Source organism: Homo sapiens, chromosome 7 (genome assembly GCF_000001405.40).
Source record: "Homo sapiens chromosome 7, GRCh38.p14 Primary Assembly".
Classification (NCBI taxonomy): domain Eukaryota; kingdom Metazoa; phylum Chordata; class Mammalia; order Primates; family Hominidae; genus Homo; species Homo sapiens.
In genome coordinates this window covers 67,746,654-67,768,532 of record NC_000007.14, presented here as the reverse complement: position 1 = coordinate 67,768,532, position 21,879 = coordinate 67,746,654, and the positions used below count along the sequence as shown (strand labels likewise).

At 43.8% G+C, this 21,879-nt stretch overlaps 1 annotated feature.

The window, feature by feature from the left end:
* Window positions 1,300-1,469: an enhancer, noted in NCBI's record as "experimental_99850 CRE fragment used in MPRA reporter constructs". NCBI's record gives its function as "activates a minimal promoter by MPRAs in K562 erythroleukemia cells, with activity observed for both the introgressed and non-introgressed 7:67232136 variant alleles {active_cell/tissue: K562}" and the evidence as "EXISTENCE:reporter gene assay evidence [ECO:0000049][PMID:34662402]".

Here is a 21,879-nt window from a genome sequence, read left to right as displayed (position 1 = left end):
CAGCTCTGCTACTTCCTGGCTGTGCAACCTGGAGGAGGCTGCATAACCTCTCTGAATCTGAATTTCCTCATCTGTAAAATAGGGCTAAAAGTAGTAGGACAATCAGGATGAGAAGAGATAATGATGGGAAGAGCTTAGACCTATGCCTAACCTGTGTCAGGCACTCATTAAAGACGACCTCTCTTCCTCCTTTACCCTGGTCTTGCTGCTGGTAAACTCAGGGCAGCTAGGCATGAAGAAAATGCCCTGACTACCAAACGGCACTTCCCTGGGTTCAACCCTAGCTCTGCCATTTGCAAATCATCCTAGCTGCCAGAGCCTCAACTTCAGCAACAGTAAAATGGGAATAATAATGGAGAAACCACAGAGCTGGCATAAGAATTAAATACAAGGATCCTAAAACCAGGCCAGGAGCATACAAGCACCCTGTCCCATCTGGGGAAATTAAGACAATAACCATAAGAGTGGGCTCTTTGGACCTGGTACGGTGGCCCACACCTGTAATCCCAGCACTTTGGGAGGCTGAGGCAGGAGGATCATTTGGGGTCAGGAGTTCAAGACCAGCCTGGCCAACATGGTGAAATCCCGTCTCTACTAAAAATTAAAAAAAAAAAAAAAATAGCTGGGCGTGATGGCACACACCTGTAATCCCAGCTACTCAGGAGGCTGAGGCAGGAGTATTGCATGAACCTGGGAGATGGAGTTTGCAGTGAGGCAAGATCACGCCACTGCACTCCAGCCTAGGTGACAGAGTGAGTAAGCCTCCATCTCAAAAAAAAAAAAAAAAAAAAAAAAAAAAAGAGTCAGCTCCTCTCCATGTCAAGAACACAGTTCTGAACCCCAGGATTTCCTGGCAGTTGCCTCCCTTGCAAGGACAGAAGCAAGTCTCACCAGGAGTTCTCTCCATTCTGTCCTAGAAACTTGTCCACCTTCTACCTCGAACAGCTTGATCCAGCTCTCCATCCCCTCCATGAATTCTAGTAAAAATATAATGATGAGGCATTGCTAATATTGACAATAAATGCTTATGATGTGGGATTCCTAATGGACAATTTGTAAGTGCTTCCACTGAGAGGCTATAGACAAAACCAGTCCTTGCAATTTTCAGCCTGTGAAATCCGTCTTTAACAGCTATTGTCTTTGGAGTACTTGTACCCTGTTTGGTGTGAAGCAGATTCATTGCAAAAAGTGGCTGCCGTTTGCAATGTGACTTCCCATCAAGAGGTAGAATCCATGCTGCAATCCCATGAATGACTTACTTTGGCCAAGAGAGCGTGGTAGAAGGGATGCAGTGCCAGTTTGAAAAGCTGTACACACTTCTGCTGCTCTTTGAGCCTCTGCCATGTGAAGCAGCTCAAGCTAGCCTGCTGGTGGCTGAGAGACATGTGGTCCAATAACTCCAGCTGCCTCCCAGCCCACTGCCAGACATGCAAATGAGGCCATCCTAGCTAGCCAACCCTCAGCCCATCCATCAGCTGAGCACAAGCTCATGAACAAGCCCAGCCAAGATCAGCCAAGCCTGGCCCAAACTAGCAGAATTCTCAGCTGATGCGTACATACGTGAGAGACCATAAATGCTTCATGATTTTAGCCTCTGAATTTGGGGTGCTTTGTGACCTAGTCACAGCTAACCAATCCACCATGCTAAGTCCCTTGAGTACACTATCTCACTTTGTAAGAACACTATGAGCTGGGAATATTTATCCCAATTGTACAATGCAGCAAACTGGAGTCCAAAAGGCTTTAGCAACTTGCAGAAGTTGTCACAGCTAGAAATTGGTAGAGCCAGGAATAAAACTCATGTCCTACTTGACTCAATAAGGGACACTCTCCTCCAGCAACTTCTCTCTTTCCCCCAGGTAAGAATAACAGATGACTACTTAAAAGAAGGATTGCAGAAGCCCAGACCAGGGCAATCTTCCTCATGAGGGAACAAATCATCCTACATAGCCGATGTTCCTGGCCCTACTTTAAAAGTGTCTTGGAATTTGGGGGACAGGTGTTTTTTATGTATCTTTAAATGTGATTTGTTTAAAGAATCTCAGTCCCGGCCAGGCACGGTGGCTCACGCCTGTAATCCCAGCACTTTAGGAGGCCGACGCAGGCAGATCACCTGAGGTCAGGAGTTCGAGACCAGCCTGGCCAACATGGTGAAACCCTGTCTCTACTAAAAATACAAAAATTAGCTGGGCTTGGTGGCAGGCACCTATAATCTCAGCTACTCAGGAGGCTGAGGCAGGAGAATCGCATGAACCAGGGAGGTGGAGGTTGCAGTGAGCTGAGATTGTGCCACTGCACTCCAGCCTGGGCGACAAGAGCAAAACTTCATCTCAAAAACAACAAAAAGAATCTCAGTCCTTTTCAGCAAGTCTAAAAGCTGTAGCTTTGACCTTTCCTTGCTTGTTAATTAGGGTATTGGAGGGGAAACAGAAAAACCATGTGGATGGGCAGAAGAGGAGATTGCAAAAATAAGTATTCCTTAGGACCACTCGACTGAAAAATTACATTAATTCATTAATTAAGATAGCCAGTATGAGAATTCCAGGGGAAAGAACAAATACCATCTGTGCTGTGGAGGGGCCAAATTTTTCTTTTAGCCTCTAAGACCCAGTAATGAGCACATGTTCTGAATTATTCTTCCAATTAACTGCTTCATGGGAGAAGAGCAGCATTGGCAAACCAATGAGGTATCAGACAGTGCTCAGAAAGCCACATCTGTGAGGCTTCCAAGTGATCTTCTCGTGCCTTAGGCATGGGGAGGCAGGTTACAGCTCAACACAAGAAGCTTCGTTCCAAAAGTCAGAGGTATCTTGAGAAGAAATGAGTTGCTTCACAAGGTAATGAGCTCACCATCACCAGGGGTATGCAAGTAAAGCCTGAGTCTGTCGGGAGGAATTGCTGTTTTGTGTAGGAAGTTGGAGGCTCCACTAAATAATCACTCAGAGCCCTTCCAATTGTGAGATTTTTTAATTATTATTATTATTTTATTCTTTGGAGAGATGGGGTCTCACTACGTTGCCCAGGCTGATCTAAACTCCTGGGCTCAAGCGATCCTCCTGCTTCGACTTCCCAAAGCGCTGAGGTTACAGGTGTGAGCCACCGTGCTCTGCCAACATTCTATCTAATGTCTTCTAAAAGGTGAGCCCTTAACTCATAGAGAATTATTTCTCTGACTAGGTGATTAGCAGCATATCAGTGCTCACGTGGTCTCAGATACTGAACAGCTACAGTGGCCATCACGGTGAACATCTGACAGGGAACATCTTCATTGGCCATGGCACTGCTGTTATCAGACACTGCAGATGACTTTAGAGCAGGACGCTGGGTTCAATGAATCACTAAAGTTAGAAGCATTTTCTCACTTGGTTTAAAATTTCCAGCTTTGATAGCTCAAATTGGGGGCCCAGCAGGAGACATTTCAAAAGCAAATTGTGAATGATGATATTATTTTGGCCTCATTTGGGCTGGCACAGTTTGGGTGACCATGAGGCATCAGGCAAGAAACCTCTTTTGACACCTTACAAAATGTTTAGATTAATCAAATTTTAAGGCCAGATCCTGCATGGGGAGGACAGAGCATGTAGGAGTGGCTGGAATATTTTACCACATCTGAGTTGATCACAGAGGACGATGCGTTTCCTTTTTCTAGCATCCATGAATATTGAGTCAGATAAATGTTGCATTGGTATGTTTAATTGGTTAAAAAATACCCTCATTAGATCTTTAATAGATGGCTTCTGACAGCATAAACAACAAAGATGACTGATTTTTCCCGCAAAATCTTCGGAGGGGAAAATCTCCTGCTATCAAATTTGTTTAGAAGCCATTTCTCTGAAGCCCCTACAGTTAACGTTTGGGCTGTAGCAAACCTCTCCTGTGCAGAGTGTGTTTCAAATATTAATGGAGGTCTAAATCTGTGCTCTTTCTCAACTCAACCTTTTGCACTCAAAATTCATGAGTGTATATTGATTTAGGCAGCCTTCCCAGGACCCTGGTACCGCCAGGCTCTTTTGTTCAGTGTTAATTTGCTGCCCCAACTTATCAATTATTAACTTGCTAAGTGAAAGCAATATAAATCTAGCATTCTGAGCAAAAAGAACTGTTCTTTTCATTCCCTAAAAATACGATGGCAGCAGAGGCTGGTGACTTAGCCAAACTAAGGCTTGATTTAGTGGCTAACAATGCCTGTGGGTCTCATTGTGTTCTCTTCTGTTGGAGATGCAAATCCAAGAACACCGGAGTAAACTGAAATTAGCAACTAGACACTTCCAAGACAGGGTTTGTGCATCATACTTGGAGGGGAAAGAATTAAAGAATGAGAAAGGAAGATTAGTATCAAGATTTAATTTATACAGCAGCTGGGCATGGTTGTTCATGCCTGTAATCCCAACACTTTGGGAGGCTGAGGTGGGCAGATCACTTGAGGTCAGGGGTTCAAGACCAGGCTGGTCAACATGGTAAAACCCCATCTCTACTAAAAATACAATAATTAGCCGGGTATGTTGGTGTATGCCTGTAATCCCAACCTCAGGGGGAGCTGAGGTAGGAGAAATCACTTGAACCCGGGGGGCAGAGATTGCAGTGAGCCGAGATTGTGCCACTGCACTCCAGCCTGGGCAACAGAGTGAGACTCTGTCTCAAAAAAATAAAAACAAAGATACATTTAATATAAAGGGAAATGTCAGGGATTATCTTAAAATGAAGGCCTCTGCCAGGTCTTTATCATAGCTCATCTCTGCTCCCCTAACAAGGCCATGGGCCTTGCCAATGATAGTGATCAAGCTATGTTTCATGCATAATCCATCTCTTGTACCCCAGCACCCCTCCAAGGTAAGCAGTGCTACATTTTGCAGATGAAGAAGCTGAGATATAAAGATGAAGAATTGTTTGCTCAAGAGCACACAACCCAGAAAATGGTAAAGTGAGAATTTGAACCCAGTGTGATTTGCTCCGGGTATATTCATTCAGTGACCTTCAGCTTCGTCAAGGTCGCCAGCAAGTTGGGGTGAGGATCAGAGCTTATTAAAGGGGCAACATTCTAGTCTAAAACCTCCACTTGACTTGACTCTAGCTTTGATATCTATGGGGAGGCTAAAGCAACTTCATCTTGGATGTAAATCTGCCATGTTGATTTCTGATTAATCTCAGTTCCAAGAATGTTCTAAGATTTCTACTTTATCTTAGAACATAAGTAAGAGCACGTACTTGCCATAAATTCTGCTTCTAGGCAAATTCTTGCCTTTCCTTGGGAAGTCAACTTCAATTGTTCAACACAGTTCTTCTAAAGCAAAATACCTTTTCCCTACGGTATATAAGCCCCAAATCTCGGGGGTAACAGTGGCCACCCAAGACATGACTTCTGTTTATAAGTCCCTATGAAATGTTTCTTTCAGAGAAACTGCATTTGTCAGCCACTTTCTTCCACCTCTCAGCTCCCTTGGTCTTTGGGGGTAGGTTTGCAAAGACCTATTCATTGTGGAGTAATATCCCAGAGATGCCTCTAAGAATATTTCATGTTCTCAAGCAGCAAAGCAATATTCTGTAATGGCTAAGATATTTCTCAATTTTCTTATCTATAAAATGGAATAGTAATATTAGCCTTACATCATAGTTACAAGAATGAAATCGGACAATAAGATTCATGTAAAGTCCTGAACTCATCTTAGACCTTTCGTAAAAGCTAGTTCCACTTCCTTTCTGCCTTGACTCCTTACCCTTCCTAACCTTGACAGGAAAGGGAACTTAGATATGCTGGCATATTCACAGCATGCCTTGGAATTACAATGGGTTTCTAGCTAATTAACTTTCAGTTAATCAGATAATTCAATTAACAACAACACCCCCTTCCCCTGAGCAATTAGCTAATTGAAGTTTTATTATATACAAAGCATTACAGAGCGGCTACTTATACAAGAACACTACTTATTGAAGAAATGGAAGCAAGAAAGGAATTTCATGTAAGAAATGGCAGATCGTGTCATCTTTGGGGCAGCCTGCTCCCTGGCCATCTCTTTCCCTTTGTCTCTCTTTCCCTCTCCTGCCCTTTCTCTTCCCAAATTCTGTCATCCCCTCCATTTGCTGGCTTAGTGAGTCCTCTGACTCAACTCATGCAGATGCTGTGGTCAACAGTCTCACAGCCCCTGTTTCTTCCCGACAAGGGCTGCAATGAGATCTTCACCTTGAAACCATCTTTGCAAAATTATGACAGTAAGACAAATCTGATATAGTTGACTCCATCTTGTTTTTAATGTCCAAGCTGTCATTGGTCATTTCTGGGCATAGGCCAAACTAACTTTGGGAGAAATTTATAGTCCAAACTTAAAGCAAGTATGATAATAGCCCTTCCCCAAACTAAAGCACCTTTGTAAAACTAATGAAAGTCCACAAGGTTAGGATTATGAGAGGGGCCTGAATTCTACTAAGAAGCAGAAGTAGTTAAATGATGGCCAGCCATTGTTTGGAAGGTTACGAGATTTGTAACCTCTCCAATGATTCCTATAGATAACATCACTATTGTAGAACCTGAGATTGACCTTTTGAGATGTCCTTTCAGATTTTTACATTTCTGATGACCCCAGCTGACTTCATCCAGAGCCTGTGACTCATAACTCAGTTGGTCCTGTGGCCTCCATATAAACATATGACAAGTTTGTTTACAAGGACTTATTCCATCACATTTATCTCATTGGTTGACTGATTGATTTAATAGTTTACCTGGATTATTTATTTACAAAAACTGTGATAGTCATTCTATAAGTTGCTTTCCTGTTTTTTTTTTTTTTGTTGTTGTTGTTGTTGTTGTTGTTGTTGAGACAGAGTCTCACTCTGTTGCCCAGCTCGGAATACAGTGGCGTGATCTTGGCTCACTGCAACCTCTGCCTCCCAGGTTCAAGTGATTCTTGTGCCTCAGCCTCCTAAGTAGCTGGAATTACAGACACACACCACCACAATCATTGATTTTTTTTTTTTTTTGTATTTTTAGTGGAGACGGGGTTTTGCCATGTTGGCCAGTCTGCTCTTGAACTCCTGACCTCAGGTAATCTGCCCATCTCATTCTCCTAAAGTTCCGGGATTATAGGCGTAAGCCACCTTGCCCAGCATGTTAACCATTTTTATAGCTATGAATTTCAGGTGTTTACTTAAGTAAGAAAACTTACAGTTGAATATAAGGGTATTTTTACCAATAACTCATGATTTAGCGGTTTTCATTAAACCAACAATATTCCATGTCTTACTTATCAAAAATTATACAACCAAAGATCATTCTATCTTGGGCTGGGTTTTATAACCCTTGTGGCTAATCTTATGGTATTCCACAGGAATAAGGTCAGAGGCTGACTCAGCACACAAAAACTCTTTTCCACATCCCTGTGATTTCATCCCCAACCAACCAGCATTCCCCATTCCCTAGCCCCCTGTCCACCAAACTATTTTTGAGAAACCCTAACCTCCAAGCCTTCAGGAAGATTGATTTGAGTAATAACTCCATCTTCTGCATGGCCAGCCTCACACCAATTAAACTCTTTCTTTACTGCAGTATCATGATCTCTGTGAATTGCTTTTGTCTGTGCACTAGGCAGAAAGAACCTGTTGGGAGATTACAACCTCAAACCCCACTCCTGGAGCACCCACCACCACTGACCATCACTCTTCTATTCACATGCTTCAGCGCAATGTGGTAGCCACTAGTAGGGGCTACCTATAGCATGTAGCTGCTATTCCTAACTCATCCCCTGTATTAGTCCATTCTCACAGTGCTATAAAGAAATACCTGACACTTTAGGAGGCCGAAGCAGGTGGATCACTTGAGGTCAGGAGTATGAGATGAGCCTGGTCATCATAGTGAAAGCCCAACTCTACTAAAAATGCAAAATTTAGCCAGGCGTAGTGGTGCATGCCTGTAATCCCAGCTTCTCAGGAGGCTGAGGCAAGAGAATCGCTTGAACCCAGGAGGCGGAGGTTGTAGTGAGCCAAGATCATGCCATTGCACTCCAGCCTGGGGGACAAGAGTGAAACTGTCTCAAAAAAAAAAAAGAAAAGAAAAGAAATAACTGAAACTGGGTAATTTATAAACCAAAGAAATTTCGTTGGCTCACCATACTGCAAGCTGTACAAGAAGTATGGCTGGGAGGCCTCAGGAAACTTAAAATCATGGTGAAGGGTGAAGGGGAAGCAGGCACACCTTACATGACCAGAGCAGGAAGAAGAGGGAAAGTGAGGGAGGTGATATACATTTTTAAACAACAAAATCTCATGAGAACTCTATCACGTGAACAGCACTAGGGGGATGGTGCTGAGCCATTAGAAACCCTCCCCATGAGCCAGTCGCCTCCCCCAGGGCCCCACCTCCAACATCGGGGATTACAATTCAAGATGAGATTTGGGTGGGGACACAGGTCCAAACCATTTCACACTCTTCATCTCCTCGGCTTACTACCCAATCATTACTCTTCCACATTTCTTTCCTCCTAAAAACTCCTCTCTCTGAAGACACATCATTGAAAAGAGAGGATGCATCCAAGATAAAGAGCTGTATCATTGGCTCTTCATTCATCCCAATGTAAACCAAACTAAAATTCTAAGCCCCCACAACCAAGCAGACCTCTCCTTTCAGCCAAGGGCATTCGAAAGTTTATTCAGGCACAGCCGACCGGCATTCTCATTAAAACAGAGACCTTAAGACTGACTAAAGACTCTTTGTAGCAATAAGATACCAACATGAGGCCGGGAGCAGTGGCTCATGCCTGTAATCCCAGCACTTTGGGAGGCCAAGGCAGGCAGATCACTTGAGATCGGGGTTTGAAACCAGCCTGGCCAACACGGGGAAACCCCATCTCTACTAAAAATACAAAAATAAGCTGGGCATGGTGGCACATGCCTGTAGTCCCAGCTACTCGGGAGGCTGAGGCAGGAGAATAGCTTGAACCCGGAAGGTGGAGGTTGCAGTGAGCTGAGATTGTGCCATTGCACTCCAGCCTGGGTGACAGAGCAAGACTCTGTCTCAAATAAAATAAAATAAAATAAATAACATGGCTGGGTGCGGTGGCTCACACCTGTAATCCCAGCACTTTGGGAGGCCGAGGCGGGCAGATCACGAGGTCAGGAGATCGAGACCACAGTGAAACCCCGTCTCTACTAAAAATACAAAAAAAATTAGCCGGTCGTGGTGGCAGGCGCCTGTAGTCCCAGCTACTCGGGAGGCTGAGGCAGGAGAATGGCGAGAACCTGGGAGGTGGAGCTTGCAGTGAGCTGAGATTGCACCACTGCACTCCAGCCTGGGTGACAGAGTGAGACTCTGTCTCAAAAAAAAAAAAAAAAAAAAAAAAAAGAATTTTTTTAAATTAAAAATAATAATAATAATAAATTAAATGTTCATCCACCCTCCATTGTATTGCTATAAAGATTGAATAAGATGATGTCTGCACTCACTTAGCATAATGTAAGCCCTCAATCAATGACTTTCCTTCCCTCCCCTTCCTTTCTTTCTTACTTTCAATTCAGAAAATTTTCTTTGTTCTTGAAAGTTACCGTCTCCATCTGTACCCAAAACCACATCTATCTTATCCTATTTTGATCTACACTCCTCGATTATTTTCTTTTTCAACATCTTTTTTTCCTTCCTTTCAACAAGTGCCCTCTTCTGTTACAAATATGATCAATGCTTCCCACTTTCAAGGTAAGTCATATTAATTAAGACCTGCTGTGCACCATGCTAGGCCAAAGAGGCTTTCATATACAGTCATGCACCACTGAACACCAGGGATAGATTCTGAGAAATGCATTGTTAGGTGATTTCGTCATTATGCAAATGTCAGAGAGTGTACATCCACAAACCTAGTGGTCTAGTCTATTACACACTGTGAAAGGAAAATAATAAATCTTGGGGCCCCCAAATCATTAAGCTAAAAGGAAAAGTCAACCTGGGAACTGCTTATGGCCAACCTGCCTCCCGTTCTATTCAAAGTCATTCCTCTGCTCACTGACATAAATACGTATCTGATTGCCTCCTTTGGAAAGGTTAATCAGAAACTCAAAAGAATATAACCATGTGTCTCTCACCTACCTGTGACCTGGAAACCCTCTGCTTGCTTGAGTTGTCTCACCTTTCTGGAAGGAACCAATGTACTTCTTACATATATTGATTGATGTCTCATGTCTCCCTGAAATGTATAAAGCCAAGCTGTGCCCTGACAACCTTAGGCACATGTGGTCAGGACCTCCTGAGGCTGTCATGGACATGCATCCTCAACCATGACTAAAAACACTTTCTAAATTAGGCCTGGCACGGTGGCTCACGCCTGTAATCCCAGCAGTTTGGAAGGCCAAGGCAGGTGGATTACCTGAGGTCAGGAGCCTGGACAGCATGGTGAAACCCCGTCTCTACTAAAAATACAAAAATTAGCCAGGCATGGTGGCACACACCTGTAATCCCAGCTACTTGGGAGGGTGAGGCAGAATTGCTTGAACCCGGGAGGCGGAGGTTGCAGTGAGCAGAGATCATGCCACGGCACTCCAGCCTGGCTGAGAGAGTGAGACTCTGTCTCAAAAAAATAAAAATAAAAGTAAAAAAATAAACTTTCTAAATTAACTGAAACATGTCTCAGATAGTCAAGGTTCACACCGCTTAGACTAGATGTTATAGCCTATTGCTCCTAGCCTACAAACCTGAACAGCATTTACTGTACTGAATACTGGAGACACTGGTAACGCAATGGTAAGTATTTGTGTATCTAAACATATCTAAACATAAAAAAGGTACAATAAAATCTGATATAAAAGATTGAAAATGTTACGCCTGTATAGGGCAATTACCATAAATGGAGCTTGCAGGATTGGAGGTTGCTCTGGGTAAGTCAGTGGTAAGTGGTGAGTGAATTCAGGCCTAGAACATGACTGTACACGCTATTGTAGTGTTTATAAACTCTGTGCAGTTAGGCTACACTAAATTTATTTAAATTTTTTTCTCTCTTCAATGATAAATTAACCTTAGCTTATTCTAACATTTTTACTTTATAAACTTTTAATTGTTTTTTTTTTTTTTTTTTTTTTTTGAGACAGAGTTTTCCTCTGTCACCCAGGCTGGAGTGCAGTGGCGCGATCTCGGCTCACTGCAAGCTCTGCTTCCTAGGTTCACGCCATTCTCCTGCCTCAGCCTCCCGAGCTGGGACCACAGGCGCCTGCCACCATGCCCAGCTAATTTTTTTTGTATTTTTTAGTGGAGACGGGGTTTCACCATGTTAGCCAGGAAGGTCTCGATCTCCTGACCTCGTGATCTGCCCGCCTCAGCCTCCCAAAGTGCTGGGATTATAGGCGTGAGCCACCACGCCCGGACTAATTGTTTTAACTTTTTTTTTGAGTCAAGATCTCATTGTCACCCTGGTTGAGAGCAGTGGCGTGATCATCGCTGACTGCAGCCTCAACCTCCAGGGCTCAAGCAATCCTCCTACCTCAACCTCCAGAGTAGCCGGGACTATAGGTGCACACCACCACATCCAGCTAATTTTTTTATCTTTTGTAGAGACATAGTCTCACTATGTTGCCCAGGCTGGTCTCAAACTCCTGGACACAGGTGATACTCCCACCTCAGCCTCCAGAGTAGCTGGGACTATAGGTACACACCACCACATCCAGCAAATTTTTTATCTTTTGTAGAGACAGAGTCTCACTTTGTTGCCCAGGCTGGTCTCAAATTCCTGGACACAAGAGATCCTGCCACTTCAGCCTCCCAAAGTGCTGGGATTATAGGTGTGAGCCACCAGACCCAGCCTGTTTTTTGGTTTGTTTTTTTGTTTTGTTTTTTTTTGTTTTTTTGGTTTTTTTGGTTTTTTTTTTACTTTTTGAGTAAAAACTTTGTACAAAAACATTTTCTTTCTTTATATCCATATCCTATAAACTTTTATCTATTTGTAAAATTTTTTTTTCTTTAAATTTTTGTTAAAAATGAAAACACACACTAGCCTAGGCCTACACAGGGTCAGGATCATCAATATCACTCTCTTCCACCTCCACAACTTGTCCCACTGGGAGGTCTTCAGGGGCAGTAAGACACATGGAGCCTCTCCTGTGATAACAATGCCTCTTCTGGAATACCTCCTGAGGGACCTGTCTGAGGCTGTTTTATTGTTAACATTTTTTAATAAGTAAAAGTATCATTATTTTAATATCTAAAATATTTAAAATGTTTTAGTATCCTTATTAAAAATTACTAAATATAAATTAAATTTAGTAATATAAATTACTAAAACATTTTAGTATCATTATTTTAATATCTAAGATAATGATTAAAAGTATACTGTAGTAGGTCAGGTGCAGTGGCTCACGCCTGTAATCCCAGCACTTTGGGAGGCCGAGGTGGGCAGATCACTTGAGGTTAAGAGTTCAAGACCAGCCTGGCCAACATGTTGAAGCCTTGTCTCTACTAAAAATACAAAAATTAGCCAGTGTGGTGGTATATCCCTGTAGTGCCAGCTACTCAGGAGGCTGAGGCAGGAGAATCGCTTGAACTTGGGAGGCAGAGGTTGCAGTGAGCCAAGATCACACCACTGCACTCCAGCCTGGGCAATAGAGCAAGACTCTGTCTCAAAAAAAAATATGTGCATGTGTGTGTGTATATATATATAATATTTATGAATGTATTTACTACATATATAAATATACTATATAAATACTATAGTATAATGTATGTATAGAATATAGCATATAGTATATATACTGTTTATATATTATATAGTATATATAAATATACTAAATAAGGATATAGTATATATAGTATTTATATATTATATAGTATATATGAATATACTACATAAATACTATATATAAATACTATAAATACTATGGTATTATATATACCATATACTATATATAATATATATGAGTACTATATGTAGTATTTATGTAAATATTATATTTACATATATAAATATATGTGCGTATACAAATATATATGTAGTGTAGTAAATACATAAACCAGTAACATAAGCTGTTTATCATCATTATCAAGTATTATGTACTATATGTAAGTATAGTACCAGTGCAAGTATTATGTACTCTACATAATTGGCTGTGCTATATTTTCATATGACTGGCAGCACGGTGGGTTTGTTTGCACCGGGATCACCATAAACACATGAGTAATGCATTGCACTACACTGCAACAGCTAAGATCGATGTCACTAGATAACAAGAATTTTTTAACTCCATTACCATCTTATGGGACCACTGTCAAAGACGTGATTCATCATTAACCAAAAGATCTTTACGTGGTACAGGAGTATACATTCTCTCACATGGACTTTTGGAAAATCGGCTTTCCCTTGATTCTGCCCTGCTTCTGGTTCTTAGCCAATCATCTCCCTCCACTCACTGCGAAATACTTCGAATCTGTTGTCAATTTCTTTATGTTTACTTTCCCCCCACTTCTGAACTCCCCATCACATGTCTTCTAGACAAATAATACTCTTTCAAAATGTTCTCTTAGAGGTTGTCAAGGGTACCTTGCAAATGACTTCATGAGCTCTCAACGTAGCTGACAGAGCAGGAGCATCACCATCTTGGACACACACCACCATTTTAAGTTCTCCTTAATGAAAAAACTGCCTAAATCCAGCCCCAAAACATCAGCCTAATGACTAATGTCAGCATAACCAGAAACATTCCAACCCTAAGATAAACCCCCTCTGACCAGAAATATGCCAATTAGAGATAGCCTCTCCTCTGACCAGAGACATTCCAATCCCACAGTAAACTTTCTCTCACATAGAAACATTCTGAACCTGTGATAAACTGCCCCCTTCCTAAACCCTTAAATACCCTTAGTCTGTAGGGAGAGAATGCTCCTGACCGAAATTGGAGAGAAGCCCCTCTCAGGTTTCTTCTCCACAATAAACCTGTCTTTTCACTGTTGAACTGCTTTGCATGTTCCTTTCCTTTCTTTAACTCTTAGACTAGTAAACCTCTCTAGCATTTGACACTTTGACTATTTCCTCATTCTAGAAAATGAGCATTTTATTCACTTAGTGGGAATGTTACTTAACTTATCTAATGCTCAAATTTTCTGGGAAAATTGTGTTGCTTTTCTAAGAAAAATGAAATGGTGGAGGATCCAGCAGGGTGGTGAGTGTGAAAGATTTAGCTCTGTGTGAAGCCCACAGCAAATGCCCCATGGGTTACCTGTCATTATTGCTAAGGAAAATAATAACAGGAGAGGCCTCAGGTGTTTGCAGATGGCACATGCCATCTTCATTTCCAAAAACTAGAAAACAGATTCTCCAAACTCCAGAAAAATTGAGCTAACATGGATCCCAGGAGAAATTATAGAAAATAATTTGTGTGCCCAAGCCACGGCATTTTGCACATCCCCACCTTTTACAGAGTGGAAAATTCCACCAGGGCCCGGACAGTGAGAAACATCCTGTTGGACAGGTCCCAGGCCTAACCGCTGACCCAGTAAATTCCTTCCTTAACAGCAGCCCAGCACACTGCCCCCACCTCATTCCGCAACAATCCCAGAACCCTCCAGCCAGGACCTATAACTGCCCCAGCCTGTAAGCAAGAAAGGGGGCTCTGGTGCTCACTGGCTGGTGCTCTCCCTCCTCAGGTCTTTGTGCAATAAGCCTGTGTTGCTGTCAAGCCACTCTCCTTGCCTCTGTCTCTTTTGTCCATCCTAACATTTGGTGCCAAAACCTGGGACAGGGATTGGGTCCTAAATAGGAGAGTCTACTCTGGCAGACTCATAGTGGGCACTGGCAGCTCATCACGGGCTAACTTCCAGACCCTGAGGGGACCCCCTGTTCCCAGCCCTGTTCCTCTTTTCTTCTTATTTCGCACTCTACACAGGTGAATTATTTATTGCAACCTGGAGAGCAGTGGGCAGCAGCAGCTCATCCAGAGCTAACCTCCAGATCCTGATCGAATGAACACAATTCAGTCAAGATGGTAGTTTGTAGGGACTTAGAAAAAGAAATCCCTGGGAAAAAATAAGCAGAGGGCCCTTGCAGACAAATCATGTCAGACTTTCCACATTTCCCTTTTAACTACATTACCAGACTAGCTAATGGGGGAAATGCATGGTGTCTCCATAGGAGGAAGACATTGGAAAATGGCCCTCATAATTTTGTTGTTAATGATTTGGGCACAGGAAGCGTTCCTGTGACTTGCCACAAAATTAGTTTCTTTCTTTCTTTCTTTCTTTCTTTCTTTCTTTCTTTCTTTCTTTCTTTCTTTCCTTTCTTTCTTTCCTTCCTTCCTTTTTTCCTTCTTTCTTTCTTTTTTTCTTTATTTCTTACTTTCTCTTTTTCTTTATTTCTTACTTTCTCTTTTTCTTTCTCTTTTCCTTCTTTCTTCTTTCATTCCTTCCTTCCTTTTTCCTCCCTTCTTTCTTTTTTCTTTATTTCTTACTTTCTCTTTTTCTTTCTCTCTTTTCTTTCTTCTTTCTTTCTCTCTTTCTCTCTCTATTTCTTCTTTTTTCTTTCTTCCTTCCTTTGTTCCTTCCTTCTTTCTTTCCTTCCTTCCTTCTTTCTTTCCTTCCTTCCTTCCTTCCTTCTTTCTGAGATAGGGTCTTGCTCTGTCACCCATGCCAGAGTGCAGTGGTACAATCTCAGCTCACTGCAACCTCTAATTCCTGGGATCAAACACTCCCACCTCAGCCTCCTAAGTAGCTGGGACCAAAGGCATGTGCCACCATACCTGGCTATTTTTTTTAATTAATACTTCTTGTTTCAAACCCAGATCACAGAGCTCCAAACAGTAGTTCTCAAAGTGTGGTCCCCAGAGTGGCATGTGGTCCCCATAGTAGAGACAGGGTCCCACTATGTTGCCAATGCTGGTGTCCAACTCCTGGGCTCCAGTAATCATCCTGTCTTGGCCTCCCAAAGTACAGGGATTACAGATGTGAGCCATCATGCCCAGCCTCCACAGAGCTTTTCACTATGTAGTGTTCACATAAGTGAACTTTGCAGCTGTAAAATTTGCATCCGTATTTATGGATGACCTGAGGAAGAAAGATCCAGAATGACATCAATAGGCTGGAACTAGAAAGGTCTGAAGAGGCTGGAAATATAAATAAATCATACCATGATGCAACTGAGTAGGAATAAATGTTAACTCCCTCATTTGATTTCAAAAGCTGACTTCACAAATGCAGAGTGAATGTTGCACAGCATAGAAATGATGGAAAATCCTGGGGTTACAGCTGTAAGGACCAGCCAGGGGCATGCTCCTCAATAAGCAGGGAGAGCCTACCTGAAAACAAGGCTCACCTGGAGGAAGCAGAAAGGCCGAGACAAGAGAGAGATGCTGGGACTGGGCACAGTGGCTCATGCCTGGAATTGCAGCACTTTGGGAGGCTGAGATGGAGGATCCCTTCAGGCCAGGAGTTAGAGACCAGCTTGGGTAACATAGCGAGACTCTGTCCCAGCTATTTTTGGAAAAAAATGACATTTTGAGCTGGATGATTTAACAAAGCAAGAAAAAAATAAGATGATAATGTCTTCTAGAGAATCCAACAGGATGTCTTCGTGGTTGCTTACACTCAATCTCCAGCTGCCCAGCGAGCAGGGCAAGGAGCTGTCTGCAGATAAGGGGCAGGCCAGATCATAGCTGTGTCCACACTCATCTGACACCCCATGGCTTCCCCTCACATGCTGCTCTGGTGCATCGAGGCTTCCACTGGTCTTACTTAATGTGTGTGATACTACCATGCTAACACCTGAAATGACACTCAAGATGAGGGAAAAGATACCAGGCATAGTGGCTCACACCTGTAATCCCAGCACTTTGGGAGGCGGAGGCAGGGGATCACTTGAGCCCAGGAGTTTGAGACCAGCCTGGGCAACATAGGGAGACCTCATGTCTACAAAAAATAAAAATAAATTAGCCAGGCATGGTGGCATGTGCCTGTAGTCTCAGCTACTCAGGAGGTTGAGGAGGGAGGATCACTTGAGCCAGGGAGCTCGGGACTGTGGTGAGCTATGATTGTACCACGGCACTGCAGCCTGGATGACACACTGAGACCCTGGCTCTTAAAAATAAATACATAAATAAGAGAGTGAGAAAGAAAGATGCCTGGTGCCAGCACAGAGTTGGTGTCTATCTGTGCCTCATGCAAAGACAGTCTCTGGACAATTAAGTAAGCTAATCCATTTAAAAAATTTTTTTTTCTCAAACCATTAAGAGTGAGTCTCTGGAACTTGCCACCAGAACTCTAACTAAAGTAATCATTAACATTTATTGAGAATCTATTTGTGCCAGGCACTGTGCTAAGTGTTATTTATCTATCTATCTATCTTGTCCAAGCCATGCAACCACAGGATGCTATGAATACTGGGATTACACACATTCAGCAGAAGACAAAACTGAACCACAAAGAAGTTAAGGGACCTTGCCAGGGTCTCATGCTAGCAAGTGGTTTTCTGGTGACATGGTTTCTCTCTGTCCCCACCCAAATCTCATCTTGAATTGCAGTTCTCATAATTCCCACATGTTGTGGGAGGGACTGGGTGGGAGGTGATTGAATCATGGGGGCGGGTCTTTCCCCTGCTAGTCTCATGATAGTGAATAAGTCTCATGAGATCTGATGGTTTTGAAAAGGGGAGTTTCCCTGCACAAGCTCTCTTCTCTTGTCTGCCGCCACGTGAGACGTGATTTTCACCTTCCACCATGATTGTCAGGCCTCCCCAGCCACCTGGAACTATGAGTCCACTAAACGTCTTTCTTTTGTAAATTTCCCAGCCTAGGATATGTCTCTATCAGCAGCATGAAAGCAGGCAGATACATCTGGTTGCAAACCCAGATCATAGAGCTCTAAACAGTAGTGCTCAAAGTGTGTCCCCAGAGCAGCAGTGGCACCACTGGGAATTTATTACAGATGCAAACCCTTGGGCCCCATCCAGACCTGACCACTCAGAAGCTGTAGGGGCCAGGAGTCTGTTTTAAGAAGGCTTCAGGTGACTGTGAAGTGGTCAAGTGTGATAACCTTTGCTCTCTAAGACCCTGAAGCACTCTTCTCTACCTAGAATGAGAGTGTAACAGTCCCACATTGGGAGAGTATGGGTATTTGCAGTCACTGGTCTCTGACCGCACTCAGAATTTTAACCATGATTCACCAGAAGCAACAAAATGACCACAGTGATTGAAGGTTTAGAAAATAGCATAAGATCAGCTGAGGCCAGGTGCAGTGGCTCATGCCTGCAATCCCAGCACTCTGGGATGCCAAAGTGGGAGGATGGCTTGAGGCCAGTAGTTCGAGACAAGCCAGGGCAACATAGCAAGACCCTGACTCTACAAAAAAAATAGCCAGGCATGATGGCTCCATTCTGTAGTTCCAGTTACCCAGGAGGCTGAGGCAGGAGGATTGCTCAAGCCCAGGAATCCAAGGCGGCAGTGAGCTATGGTCATGCCACTGCACTCCAGTCTGGGCAACAGAGCAAGACCATGTCTCTACAAAATAAAAAATAAGTTAAAAAGAAAAAGACTAACTGGGCATCTAGAGCCACCAGGTGGGAATGGGCATAACAGAAGTCCCCAAGAACTCCTCTCATCTCAGCTGCTAGAATTAATATGCCCCTCCCTGAATTTCTGCCCCCCATCCTCCTAAGCTGACCTGACGGGTCTGTTATTCTTAACCTTGCCTGCATATTGGAATTACCTGGAGGATTTTAAAAGGATTGATGCCTTGGCATCACTGCCAGAGATTTGGGGTAAATTGGTATGGGGCGTGGAGGGGTGATCTAAGCATTAGGACATTTTTCAAGCTCTCCAGGCTATTCTAATACATTCTCTTCGATACAGTTTGGATGTGTGTCCCTACCCAAATCTCATGTTGAAATCAAATCCCCAATGTTGGAGGTTGGGGCCTGGTGGGAGGTGATTGGATCATGGGGGTAGATTTCTCATAAAGAGTTCAGCATCATCTCCCGTGGTACTGTCCAAGCAATAATGAGTGAGTTCTTGTGAGATCTGGTCATTTAAAAGTGTATAGCCCCTCCTTGCTCTGTTCTTGCTCCCCCTCTCACCATGTGGCATGCCTGCTCCCCCTTCACCTCCGCCATGACTATAAGCTTCCTGAGGCCTCCCCAGAAGCTGAGCACATGCCAGCTTCTCGCTTCCTGTAAAGGCTGCAGAACCATGAGCCAAGTAAACCTCTTTACAAATTATCCAGTCTCAGGTATTTCTTTATAGCAATGCAAGAATGGCCTAGCAACTGTTCTAATCTGTTCAGGCTTGAGAACTGCAGGCCTTGGGATGTACCCAGGCTTTTCTTCCACCCAGGTCTCTGCGGCCAGCTGCTTAGGCCTGCCTGTCCCTTTCACCATCGCTGTGCATGCATCTTCTCTGCATAAAGGCCCTTCCTCATTGCAATGCTTCTGCCAGCCCCATCGTTTCTACATGGTGTTGCTCTGCAGGAGCAAGGCAATAATACACTTGCTATCATTAGGTTCAGGAGCTCTCCGGCTCTGCTTCATAACCTTGAAGAAAGGAGGCAGTCATACCCTTACCTCAAAAGGTCTGTTCAAGTCTCATTTGAACAAGCTCCCAGCCAGGCACAGTGGCTCACGCCTGTAATCCTAGCACTTTGGGAGGCTGAGGTGTGTGGATCATTTGAGGTCAGGAGTTAGAGACCAGCTTGGCCAACATGGTGAAACACTGTCTCTACTAAAAATACAAAAATTAGATGGGGTTCATGGTGTGCACCTGTAATCCCACCCACTTAGGAGGCTGAGGCAGGAGAATCGCTTGTATCTGGGAGGCAGAGGTTGCGGTGAGCCAAAATCACGCTGCTACACTCTAGCCTGGGTGACTCCATCTCAAACAACACCACCACCACCACCAAAAAAAAAAAAAAAAAGAACAAGCTCCCCATGTGCCAGCCTGAGAATCACTGGTAGTGTTTCAGAACATTTAATTACAAGTCAACTGTCCTGGGTTCAAATCCCAACACTTTCAACCTCCCAGCTTTGTAACTTTGGGCAACTCAACCAAATCTTTCTAAGCCTCAATTCTTTATTAAATTAGAATATATTAGTTAGCTTGTTTGTTTGTTTGTTTGTTTGTGACAGAGTCTCTCTCTCTCACCAGGCTGGAGTGCAGTGGTGCGATCTCGGCTCACTGCAACCTCTGCCTCCCAGGTTCAAGCGATTCTCCTGCCTAAGCCTCCCTAGTGACTGGGATTACAGGCACCCACCACCACTGTTTGGACGTGGCTGTCTGAGCCAGAGGCTGGAGCATGATGCAAACCCCTCTGCTCTCTCTCTGTTACTAAGAATGACCACCATTCACTATTTTTTTTTTTTGAGACAGAATCTTACTCTGTTGCCCAGGCTGGAGTGCTGTAGTGTGATCTCAGCTCACTGCAACCTCCGCCTCCTGGGTTCAAGAGATTCTAGTGCCTCAGCCTCCCAAGTAGCTGGGATTACAGGTGCGTGCCACCACATCTGGCTAATTTTTGTATTTTTAGTAGAGACAGGTTTCTCCATATTGGTTAGGCTGATCTCGAACTCCTGACCTCATGATCCACCTGCCTTGGCGTCCCAAAGTGCTGGGATTACAGGTGTGAGCCATCGTGCCCAGCGAGAATATATTTTCCTATTGTCATATGTCACAAATCACCACACACTTTGAAGCTTAAGACAACATCCATTTATTGCCTCGCAGCCCTGTAGATCAGAAGTCCAGATAGTGTGGCTGGCCTCTCTGCCTGGGAGATCAATCTCACAGAGCCAACATCAAGGGGTTGACAGCTGTACCATCATCTGGAGCTCTAGATCCTCATCCAAGCTCATTTAGATTGTTGACAAATTTAGTTCCTGGCCACTGTAGCACTGAGGTCCCTGTCTTCCTCCCAGCTCCCAGCCAGGAGTCTCTCTCAGCTGCAAGAGGATGCTCTCAGATTCTTGCCATGTGCCCTGCCCCGTCTTCAAAGCCAGCAGAAGAATTTTCCTCATGTCCACCTCGTCTCACACTTTGCATTTATGAATTCCCCAGTCTGACATCTAGACCCAAATGTTTATGTTTAAACAAAAATGCTTGAGGTAGGCACAGTGGCTCATGCCTGTAGTCTAAGCACTTTTGGGAGGCTGAGGTGGAAGGATCGCTTGAGCCTAGCAATTCAAGACCAGCCTGGGCAACACGTTGAAACCCCAGGCGTAGTGGTGTGTGCTTGCGATCCCAGATACTCAGGAGGCTGAGGTAGGAGGATCGCTTGAGCCCAGGCATTGGAGGCTGCAGTGAGCCAAGATCACACAACTGCCCACCAGCCTGAGCAACAGAGCAAGACCCCCATCTCAAAAACAAACAAACAAATGAAATGTGCTCATGTGATTAGGTTAGATCCACCCTGATAAGCTCACTTCCTTAAAGTCTACTGTGCCATAAACACATCTAATCATGGAAATAAAATCCATCATACTCACACTCCCAAATATTATACAGGGGGATGTACAGAAGGGAGCAGGGATCTTGGGGCGATCTTAGAATTTTGCTTGCACCAGGGGATCATAACGCTTAGCTTGCAGGATTGTAGTGGGAAATAAGACCCTGCATGCCAAGCCCTAAGCACAATACCTGTCACATGGAAAGCACTTGATATATTCAATGTTGCTTTTCTTGGCAGCCCTGTGAATCCAAGATGTCCTGATCCCTAGAATTCCTTTTCAGAGACAGCCTTTGTGGGCCTTCTCCAGCTGAAATCCTCCCTCTTCCTACAACAGATCTCAGCCCTTCTCCCACCACATTCCATTCTGCCATGTTACAAGGGACACGGACGTGCAGGACGCACCAATGGATGGAACATCCACTTTGGAAGCGCAGAATGTTTCTCCTGGAAAGCCCAAACAGAAATGCCTGCCGGTCTCCTCTGAAATCAGCACCATGCTTGTTGTG